We start from the raw sequence: 12,080 nt of genomic DNA, 5'->3' as shown, positions 1-12,080 counted from the left end.
AGCAAATAGTTGAAGAAAGTGAGGGAGTTAGCCAAGCAGATAGTAGATATGAGGGAGAAGCACCAGATGGAAGAAATAGCTGGAGCAAAAGATCCTGTATAGGCCTTGGAGCCTGTGTGGCAAGAGATGACTAAGTGAAGGAGGGAGAGAGAAGTAGAAGAGATCGGGCCCTGTATTATCTCATCTTATGGCTACTGTTAGGGCTTCAGCTCATACTCTGAGGGAAGTAGGAGGCATTGCTGGGTTTCAGGATGATAACTGACATTCGATTTGACTTTTTTTTTCTTTTAATTTCCCTTTGAGAATCCCTCTTGGATAGGAAAGGGTCAGGAAAGAGTTCATTGTAGGAATCCAGGCAAGAGTTCTTGTGACTAGGATGGTAACATTAGTAATGGTGAGAAACAGTCAGATTCTGGATCAAAAGATCCAGAAGGTGTAGTGTAGTGATTTTCTTTACTGTGTTAGTTTAGTTAAACTAAAATTGCGTTTTCCAGAATTCTCTTCCTTGTGTGGTACTAGATGATAGCTAGCCTTGAGAAATGTGTGATACTTGGAAGGCAAAAATAAAACAGCAGTCATTACATTCAGATATATACATAATCATTGCTCTGTTGGCTTACCTGTTAGCTTCTGTGAGTCATGGGCCAAATGAATGTATAGCTCCATAGGAAAGGGAAACAGATTCTTCTGCAGGTCATCTACAGCATCAGGTTTAGATAAGATTGAAAACAGACTTGGGTTCCAGTTTGTCTCCATCAGTTCCAGTTTGTTCTCAGGCATTGCAGTTTGTCCTATTTTATGTCCAGGCTTTCTTCCCAACTGTCTGCCCTGCTGTCATAGACTTTAGGCTCACCATCAAACACGGGGATACAGGCTTTTATAGACTTCTTCACAAGCTCCCATTAATGGTCTCTGGTTAGAAGTATTTTTCTGATCCTCCAACTATCTCCTTCAGGATCTTTACTCCCTCGCTTCTACCACAGTAGTATAAGGCCTAACTCTTATAATAAACTCCTGATTCTATATCACTGGATGGTTCTGCTTCCTAGATTAAAGCGTAAGTGGTATATTGAGCTGACAGATTTGAGAAAGAGGAGCCATGATTAATTCCATAGGGAAGAATGTGGGATGAGTGGTTTGGGAAAAAGGTTGAGGTTTATAATTGTTCACAGCCATTTGAGATTTATATGATGTATGTATGTGCAGGACGGACTGATAATTAAATGGGAATGTGATAGATATCACCATTCCTGCTTCTTTCAAATTTTGATGCCCACCCCCTGCCCCAACACAATATTGCTTTTGGATTACTATTTTGCCAGGCAAAGGAAGTTCCTAGAGCTTTTCTTTATCTCTTTCTACTATAATGACCCTTAACCCATGTGTAAGAGAGTGCCTATGGGGATTCTGCCGGTTATTAAGTATGTCTATTCCAATTATACATTCAGGAATAGGAGAAAGTACCACAGGGTGAGTCTGTGGACTGACTGGGTCTGCTATGGGTCAAACTTGTGTTAAGACTTCACCCATCACCTGATTTCTTTAAGTCTTCACTTTGATGTGTTGTGTCATAGTAGCGTGTTGTGCCCCAAGAGTTGGCATCACTTCCCTGGAATCAGTATAGAGTATTTCTGAAAGGTCTGGATATTAATTTTTCTCCATGACATAATCATTCTAGTACAGGGGTGCCCAACCCCCAGGCCAGACCAGTATAGGTCTGTGGCCTGTTAGAACCAAGCTGCAACAGCAGGAGGTAAGTGGCGGAGGAGCAAGCATTAACACCTGAGCTCTACCTCCTGTCAGATCAGTGGCGGTATTAGATTCTCATAGGAGCACAAACCCCATCGTGAACTGCTCATGCAAGGGATCTAAGTTGCGTGCTCCTTATGAGAATCTAACTAATGCCTGATGATTTGACATGAAATCTTCCCCAAAGCATTCCCCCACCAACATTTGTGGAAAAATCATCTTACATAAAACTGGTTCCTGGTGCCAAAAAGGTTGAGGACCGCTGCTCTAGTAGATAGCAATAGGCCCTTCTGGGGATGATTTGGTACATAATTTAAAGCATATACTTGTGGCAAAACTACAGGGTCTTTCTGCAAGGGGACCTGGCCTCCCCTTGCATCAGGGGCCTTTGGGTGTTGGGACTGACTTGTATCTGAAAACTGGGTAAGAGGGGAGTGGCAGGCCACAGCTGGACCACAGGGAGCAGCCAGTTGGTTGTGAAGAAACTTGCTGGAAAATGTTGGAAAATCAGAGTTGGTCTGCTAGAAGCCACTCTTTGGTGGTGGGGAAATTTGCCATAGAATACCGGCAGGCTAGAGCTGGTCTGCTAGAGCCTTGCAGGTGAGTGCCACCAGGCTTCCCACACAATATTTAGCTGACAACTGCATCATAGAAAAACATCCAAACCAGAACCCAGGCTATGCCCTTGTAGTGTCCCTTCACTGCTCTGTACTCACAAAGCCTGACATTTGTACCTGCTGGCAAAGGAGCAGGGTTACAGGGTCCTGATCTTGTATCACAAAGCAGGGCAAGAGGGTAGCTTTGGAAATAAGAGGCAGTAAATTGATAACTTCCACAATTAAAATTGATAACTGGTACAGTTATATTTGAAGTATATAAGGGGGCCAAGTTATTATTTTGAAAGCCAGGGCAAGAATCTAGCCTTTTTTTCTTCTGCTTTTTTTTTTTAATACGACACATACTTCAGATAGCCAAATGGTAAGTTTCTTTTTATGAAAGTTTTCCAGCCATGTAATGAAGAAGGAATAATAGACTATCACCATTTTGTAACTTCTAATGTATTTAGACCGGCACTCTTCTATAGAAATATGTGAGTCACACATGTAATTAAATTTTTCTAGTAACCATAATAAAAAGTAGAAACAGGTGAAATTAATTCCAATAACATATTTTATTTAACTCAATATATCTAAAATGTTGTCATTTCAACATCAGTGTAATATGTATCACCCCATGTGTCTTTTCCCTTTGCTGATTTTCTGTGCATCCTTTTGTTGTAATAACTTGTAACTGTGAGTGCAACATCTGAGTCCTTTGAGTTCTTCTAGGGAATCCTCGAACTTGATTCCCAATACCTCGATTTGGCTTTGTCTGGTACTTTCTCATAATTAGATTGAGGTTACGCACTTTTTGCAAGAATACCACAGAAATGATGTGCTGTTTTCAGTGTGTCATATCAGAGTAGATGATATAGATATGTCTCATTACTGGTAATGTTAACCTTCATCACTGTTAAAGGTGGTATATGCGGAGTTTCTCTTCTTTAAAGTTGCTGCTTTCCTTTTTCTAGTTAATAGGTTCTTGGAGAGTGTATGCAAATATTCTGTTTCTCCTCAAACTTTCTCCTACTAGTTGTAGCTTCTATTAGCAGATCCTGCGTGCAAAAATTATCACTGCAGTGTTCCTTATGGTAATTTTTTATTTCCAGGAAAAATACTTTGTTTTAACCTCTAAACTGATTAGAACTATATATACTTAGAAACAATAAGTTGGTTTTATTTGTAACCAAAAATATTCATAATTTGATGAATTTCCTTAGCTTGTTATTTATATTAAGCATCATATTTGTAATGTTTCGTTAACTTCCCAAATACTTGAAATTTATCTCATTTTAATTGTCATGATAGCAGATGATTATAATCCTGAGATTTTAAGCTACTTTCTCCTAAATTACTCATCTTGTTTAGTATATGTTATAATAACAATGCATTGAAATTCTTTGTCTTATTAAGAATCAACCTCATATCATAGCATAAAAAACTATTCATATGTAATAGCAGAAATCAGGTTTTCTAGAGGAAAAGAGCTAATGTAATGATTAGTTTTCTCTTCTTCTATTGTCTTCTGTATTTATAAAGAGTAGTAAGAACAGGCCGGGCACGGTGGCTCATGCCTGTTATACCAGCACTTTGAGAGGTTGAGGTGCATAGATCACAAGGTCAGGAGATCGAGAATATCTTGGCCAACATGGTGAAACCTCATCTCTACTAAAAATACAAAAATTAGCCGGGCGTGCTGGTGCGCGCCTGTAGTCTTAGCTACTCTGGAGGCTGAGGTGGGAGAATCGCTTAAACCCGGGAGGTGGAGGTTGCAGTGAGCCAAGATCAAGCCACTGCACTCCAGCCTGGATGACAAGAGCAAAACTCTGTCTCAAAAAAATAAATAAATAAATAAAAGAAAAATAAAAAGGAGTAATAAGAACAATCCTATTCTTACCAACTATTTTAGAATGATTACTAGTTGTTGACAAAGCTGTTTTATTTCCTTATGTTAAATCATATAGTCAGGAGATGATGAACTCATGAAAGCTTGTTTGATAATGAAATTTATTGTATAGTGACAAATGCAAATATAAATTCAACATAAAATGTAGCTTAAATATGGTATTTTTATTTCTTTGGGGGAAAAAAGGTGAAGAGTACCAACAAAATGTTTTTAGGCTTTATACTAAGCCATTTTTATTTATCATTTCAATTCATCATACTAAACCTATAAAGTAGATGTTGTTGCTATCTTCATTAAAAATAAGTAAACTATTGGCATGGCTGCTGTGGAAAACAGTATGGTCATTCCTCAAAAAATTAAAAATAGAATTATCATATGATCCAGCAATTCTGCTTCTGAAAATGAGGTTTCAAAGAGATTTATACCCTCATGTTTATAGCAGCATTATTCACAATAGCTAAAATGTGGAAGGGATATAGTGTCTGTAGATGAATGGTTAAGCAAAATGTGGTATATACATACAATAGAATATTATTCAACCTTAAAAAGATAGGAAATTCTGACATATGCTACATTGTGAATGAACCTTCAGGACATTATGCAAAATGAAATAAGCCAGATACAAAAAGACAAGTACTGTGTGATTCCATTTATATGAGATGCCTAGAGACAGGAAGTAGAATGGTGGTCACCAGGGGCTGGAGGGAGTGGGGAATGGGAAGTCATTTTTCATAGGTGTAGAGTTTCAGTTCTACAAAACAAAACAAAACAAAACTTATGGAGATGAATGGTGGTGATGGTTGTATGACATTATGAATGTATTTAATACCACCGAACTGTTCACTTAAAAGTGGTTAAGATGCTACATTTTGTTCTGTATATTTTACCGTAATAAAAAAAATTGGAGAAAAAAACAAGTAAACTTCTTTAAAGTGGTTCAGGAACTTGTCTAAAATCACATAAGTCTTAAGTATAGGAATTAGTATTCAAACAAATCCTTGTTATACTCCAAAACTTACTCCTTTTCTATCATAGTCATGGTTTTCAAACTGCTCCATGAACAATACAGTGTTTTATTTGAGTGAAGAGTCTTCACTGCCCTTTTGTGCATTTTTAATACAAAAATTAATGTTTACTTCTTATGTTATTATTTCAGATCTAGCTTTGGGAAATATAGCGTATCTTCACATTTGGAAATTGTAGGACTAGCCCTGTAATGCCTATTTCTTCTGAGACATTGCTTCTGTAATCCATATCTTTTTCTCCAGATGAAAGGTGACGTCTTAAACTGTGACTTAGCAAGCCACCTATGCATTTGCCTTGCATGTAAATATAAATAATAGGGGTAACATTCTATTTTTCTTCCGAACTATAATTCTAGAAAACTTCTCTCTAATTGCTACTCATAAGCACCCTTTGAAAAGTTTTTAAAATCACCTTTACACTTTAAGTGAATGCTGCCAAACTTCAACAGTTAGCTATTGTAATGTAATCTAATATTGGAATTCATTTAGTGCTTACTGGTAAATTTTCTCTCCTACCTGGGACTAACTCTTCCAAGCCTTGTCAATAGATCTGGGTCACTTAGCCACAGCACTCTTTGTCACAATCAGAGCATGCCGTGACTTCTAACAAGCCTTTCTTTCCCCCAACGTAGTCTCGCAACTTTTCCTTTGAGATTACAAAAGGAAAGATGAAAGAAGAACAGATTATTGATGGCAATGATTTAAAAAGCTATCATGATATGTTAACTTGTCATGTAACTGTATGTGTAAACTTCAAATAATTTTTGAAACAGATATGATATGAGCTAGTTGTTTTAGGTCTTTTAAAAACATTCTTAAAAGAAATGCCTTTCCATTGCATATTTTAAATATATTTGAACAGAACTGATTAGCTTTTAAACAAAAAGTCATTTCCTCTCAGTTGTCTGTGATTTCTCTCTTTGGGCTATTGACCTTCCCTCCTTTTTGGAAGGTAAATGCTCAACTTTCTACCTTTATCCGATACATGTTAAAGTATTGTTTGTTTTGGCTTTGCTGTGTATATGTCCTATTTGTCTGAATCAGCATTTTTGCTTTACACCATATGCCCATAGAATTCAGGACCTCTTGTTTTTACAGTGCAGTGTCATCATGCTGTAAAAGAAAATGCATTTAATAAATGTTTTTTAACATCAGTTAATGAAGTATGTATGTTTCAGCTTTCTTCTTGTAATGTTTTAGATTTAGGTTATTTTTATGATCTAGATCCTTATGAAAAGAACACACGATCCTACTAATAGCAACGGAAAGATCAGGTCGTCCTACCAGTCGATAATTATTTGGGGTTATTTGCAATTATAAAGCTAGTATATATTTATGAGGAGATGGAGAAAGAAAACAAAAGTTCAGAGCCATGAAAAGGAAAAGTCTGCCCCCTACCCATTACCCACATATAACCACTATTAATAATTTTTTGTATCTAATTACTCATTAAATCTCTTGAAAATGTGCTTTCGAAGACTTCATTGCTGGATGTTGGATTGTGATGTCACATCATCTTTCAGCTTTGTAATATGGAGCAGTTTTTCATTTCATTTATTTTAAATTTAAAAATTTTTGAAAATAATTTTAACTTTTATTTTACATTCAGGAGGTAATTGTGCAGGTTTGTAACATGGGGTATATTGTGTGATGCTGAGGTTTGGGGTATAATTGATCTTGTCACCCAGGTACTGAGCATAGTACTCAACAGTTTTGCATCCCTTTCCCCTCTTTCTCCCTTCCCTTGAGTCCCCCATTGTCTATGGTTACCATCTTTATGTCCATGAGTACCCAGTGTTTAGCTCCCACTTATAAGTGAGAACACGTGGTATTCGGTTTTCTGTTCTCACATTTAGAATAATGGCCTTCAGCAATATCCATGTCGCTGCAAAGGACATGATTTCCTTCTTTTTTATGGCTGCGTAGTATTCCATGGTGTATGTGTACCACATTTTCTTTATCGAATCCACTGTTGATGGGCACCTATGTCGATTCCATGTCATTGTTATTGTGAATAGTGCCACGATGAACAAGTGAGTGCATGTGTCTTTTTGGTAAAACAATGTCTTTTCTTTAGATATATACCCAGTAAGGGGATTGCTGGGTCAAATGATGATTCTGTTTTAAGTTCTTTCAGAAATCTCCAAACTATTTTCCATGATGGTCAAACTAATTTACGTTCTCATCAACAGTGTACAAGTGTTCCATTTTCTCTGCAGCCTAACCAGCATCTCATACCAGTCAGAATGGCTATTACTAAAAAGTCATTTCATTTCTTTTTTTTAAAAATTTTACTTTAAGTTCCGGAATGCGTGTGCAGAACGTGCAGGTTTGTTACATAGGTATATGTGTGCCATGGTAGTTTGCAGCACCTATTGACCCATCCTTGCCTACGTTCCCTCCCCTCGTCCTCCACCCCTCAACAGGCCTTGGTGTGTGTTGTTCCCCTCCTTGTGTCCATGTGTTCTCATTGTTCACCTTCCACTTATGAGTGAGAACATGCAGTGTTTGGTTTTCTGTTCCTGTGTTAGTTTGCTGAGGGTGATGGCTTCCAGCTTCATCCATGTCCCTGCAAAGGACATGATCTCATTCATTTTTATGGCTGCATCTTATTCTTATTCTTTTCTTTTTTCTCTTTCTTTCCTTTCTTGTTTTTTTGTTTTTTTGAGACAGGGTGTCTGTTACCCAGGCTGGAGTGCAGTGATTTGATCACAGCTCACTGCAGCCTTGACCTCCCAGACTCAAGTGATCCTCTTTACCTCAGCCTCTCGAGTAGCTGGGACCACAGGTGTGTGCTACTATGCTTGGCTAATTTTTTAATTTTTTGTAGAGACGAGGTCTTACTATGTTGTCCATGCTGGTCTCAAATTCTGGGCTCAAGCGATTCTCCTGCCTCGGCCCCCCCAAAGTGCTAGGATTAAAGGCATGAGCCACCATGCCTGATCCCGTTTTCATTTTTTGATCGCTTTTAATTCTGCTGTTCCCTTTCTGAGCAGGTGTAAACTCTAGAGTAGCCCTCTTGCTTTCTCCTGAGTATTCTTTCCTACTTGTTTCACAGAATTCCTTTACTTTCTTCTCTTAGAATTTTCTCTTCCTGCTTCTGAAAAAGGAACATTGTGATTTTAGGAAAAATTTGTTTCTCTGGAAGAAGAGTAGGATGATATCTTTGGTGTCAGCAGAATGGAAGATAACTGATAAATGAATTTTATTGATTCCTCTAAGATGGTATTAATTAGTAGACATATTTTATGTATTACTTTAAAAAATTAATTCTGCTATTCCATAAATTATATCTAAAGGATAAATCCTCATGGGAGCTTCATATAGTAGTTCAAATTTTCTATTTGCTTGGTATAATAAAATTAAACAATGTTAGTTTAGATAAATGGAGCATGTGTTAACATATATATATATATATATATATATATATATATATATATATATATATATATATAATTTTTTTCACACCAGTTACACGGGAGAAATATATCCTAATTCCAAAGTGTGAAATTTGAACTGACAGAATTATAAACATTTTTAACATTTTAAAGTATTTTCAATCTGTTCTGTATGTGATGAGATATTTTTTGAGCCTGTCTTTGTCACATGTTAGAAAATAGTTCCTAAAAGCAAAAGCTCTCTAATTACTTTCTTGTTTTCATACATAAACATAAGTTTACTTAAAATTTTTCTGCTCTATTATTCCAGTGATGTTTTTCTGTGTTTCTGTATTTATTTAATGATGCTTTTGAATTTCTTTAGTGTTACAGGAAAGCTGTTTTCTCTTAGTTTTGCCTTCTCCCTTTGTTCTTCATTTCCCTTGCTTGCCTCAAAAAAACACTTACCAGCTGGAAGTGTTTAAACTGTGAATTGCTGGGTATTGGCCCAACATGAAGAATCCTCTAATTTAATAAGCTTCTTAGAAGAGTTCTTGGTTCCATAAATTTGCTTCACCTTTTGTCTTACCAGCTTGTTAATAATAAGAATAGTATCATTTGTGTGTTTAATGCTTCTAATATGCTTGATTTCCCTTGTATGTAGTTTATATACATTATCTCATTTAATCAAGCTTTTTAATGATTTCTGTTGGCTACAGTGAAAATTTGAGAAAGTTTTTTTATCTTCTTTATATAATTGCATCACATACATTAATAACATAAAGTATAAATTGGTGTCAGTTTTCTAAAGTAAGGAATAATTTTAAGATATAATTATTTTACATTAAGAATTTTAATTTAGTAATTATTTATACATCATTCATTTTAAAATTTCTTTTATGTGAATGCATTATTTCTTCCTGTTTTGGAAGGGGTGTGTGTGTGTGTGTGTGTGTGTGTGTGTATTTTATTTATAGACTTTAGTTTCCAGAACAGTTTTAAATTTACAGAAAAATTGAGTAGATATTAATAGAACAGAAAGTTCCCATATACACCTCTTGGGCCCCCCACAAACAGTGTACCCTATTATTAACATGGCACATTTATTACAATTAATGAACCAATATTGGTATGTTATTATTTATTTATTTATGTTTTGAGACGGGGTCTCACTCTGTCACCCAGGCTGGAGTACAGTGGTGCCATCTTGGCTCACTGCAACCTCTGCCTGCCAGGTTCAAGAGATTCTCTTGCCTCAGCCTTCTGAGTAGCTAGGACTTACAGGCATGTGCCACCATGCCCAGCTAATTTTTGTATTATTTGGTAGAGACAGGGTTTCACATGTTTGCCAGACTTGGTGTGTTATTTTTAACTAAGGTCTGTAGCTTATTCAGATTTCCTTAGTTTTTACTTGATGTCCTTTTTCTTTTCCAGGATCCCATCTAGAATACTGCATTACATTTAGTTGTCATATCTCCTTAGGGTACTCTTGGCTGTGACATTTTCTCATACTTTCCGCGTTTTTAATGACATTGCCAGTTGTGAGAAGCACTGCTCAAATGTATTATAGGATGCTCCTCATTTAGAATTTGTCTCTTGTTTTTCTCATAATCAGACTTGGGGTATGGGTTTAGGGAAAGAAGATCACAGATGAAGTGCGATTTCTATCACACTGTATCAAGAGTACATACTATGAACATGATTTTATGATTTTTGATGTTGACCTTGACCACCTGGCTAAAGTAGGGTTTGTGAGTTTTCTCCATTTTAAAGATAACCCATTTCTTCCTCCTTTTCATACTGTACTCTTTGGAAGGAAATCACTATGTGAAGCCTACACTTAAACACTGAAAAGTTACACTCTCCCCTTCTTAGGGTACTGTACAATTCTTTTTATACATTGTTGGATTTAACATTGGTAATAATTTGTTGAGGATATTTGCATTCATGTTTGTCTTAGTCTCCTTGAGCTACCATAACAAAATACCATAGACTGGGTGCCTTAAACAACAGAAATCTATTTTCTTATAGTTCTAGAGACTGAAATTTCAAGATTACAGCAGGGTTGGTGTTTGGCAAGGGTTCTGCCCCTTGAGTCGCGGATGCTCTCTTCTTACTGTGTATTCACATGGCACAAGGGGAGGAGGAAAACACTCTCTGCTGTCTTTTCTTATAAGACTTCTAATCCTATTGTATCAGGACCCCACCCTTGTGACCTCATTTACTCTTAATTACTTCGTAAGAGGCCGTATTTTCAAATATAGCTAAGGGCGTTAGGGCTTCAACATATGAATTTGGGGAGGGGGGACAGACATTCAGCCCTGCCTCCCTTCCCCCAATTTATATCGTTCTCACATGAAAAATACATTCATTTTATCCCAAGTCTTAATTCATTCCAGCATCAACCCTAAAGTTCAAAGTCTCATCTAAATATCATCTAAAGTGGAAAGGGGTAAGACTCGAGGTATGATTCGTCCTGAGACAAAATTCTCTCTAGCTGTGAATCTGTGAAACTAGCAAGTACTACTAAAATATGGTGGTGGGACAGGCATAGGATAAACATTCCCATTCTAAGAAGGAGAAATCAGTCTATGGCCATACCACCCTGAAGTGCCTAATCTCGTCTAAGAAGGAGAAATCAGAAGGAAGAAAGGGGTGTTATGTCCCAAACAAGTCCAAAACCTATCGAGGAAATTCCATTAGATCTTGAGGTTTGAAAATAATCTCTTTGATTTCATGCTGTGCCTTTCAGAACAACTGGCTTTGCCTTCTGGATCCACTGGGATGGCAGCCCCACCTCCATAGACTCCTGCCTCCAAGGCTCCTGGGTAGCAATAACCTAGCTTGTTGAAACCATGAAGGAAATCATCCTTGCCCTTTAAGACTGTGGTGAGAATGGCAGCTCTCTGATGATCTCTAAATCACATTTGGTGTTGTTACTTTTTCTTGAAGGATAATGCATGTTCACCACCTGATGGTTGTATGTTTCCATCTTGTAGAATCCATGAAGTCTGCCTTCCTTCATTCAGTCCTTTACAGTTCACACTGGCAGTGTATCTGCTCAGATAATTTCGTAGTCTCTTTACTGAGTGGTAGTACAGGCACAACCTTGGTGTTCTCCTCAGAAAGCCCTCATCTTTTGAAATATGAACAGACAGAATTTGCCACATCTTTAAGTTCTGGTTCTTTTTTGCCTAACAGTAGCTTTATTTCTCTTTCTCTTGCATTTTACTATAAGCCATAAGGAGTAACCAAGCTTCTCTTTTAATACTTTGTTTAGGTATCTCCTCTTAAATGATGGAGACACCTAAACAAAGTATTAGAGAAGTTAGTTATCATTCTCCTGAGTGAATATCCAATTTCATTGACTGCGAGTTCTACATTGCACACATTCAGTTTATGACAATGTTCTTGAGAGACACTC

The 12,080-nt window shown here is 36.9% G+C and overlaps 1 protein-coding gene across 5 annotated transcripts in view, besides 1 other annotated feature; it reads left to right on the top strand.

The window, feature by feature from the left end:
• The window catches only part of RNGTT (RNA guanylyltransferase and 5'-phosphatase), a 353,722-nt gene that overhangs the window by 215,159 nt on the left and 126,483 nt on the right, over positions 1-12,080 (top strand). The gene's annotated exons all lie outside the window — the stretch shown is intronic.
• Positions 4,883-5,083: a silencer, noted in NCBI's record as "peak5947 fragment used in MPRA reporter construct". NCBI's record gives its function as "represses an SCP1 promoter by STARR-seq MPRAs in K562 erythroleukemia cells {active_cell/tissue: K562}" and the evidence as "EXISTENCE:reporter gene assay evidence [ECO:0000049][PMID:32103011]".

The sequence above is a fragment of the Homo sapiens genome, chromosome 6 (assembly GCF_000001405.40).
Source record: "Homo sapiens chromosome 6, GRCh38.p14 Primary Assembly".
NCBI lineage: Eukaryota > Metazoa > Chordata > Mammalia > Primates > Hominidae > Homo > Homo sapiens.
Note: the sequence above shows the minus strand (reverse complement) of the source record. Positions and strands in the feature narration are given on the sequence as shown.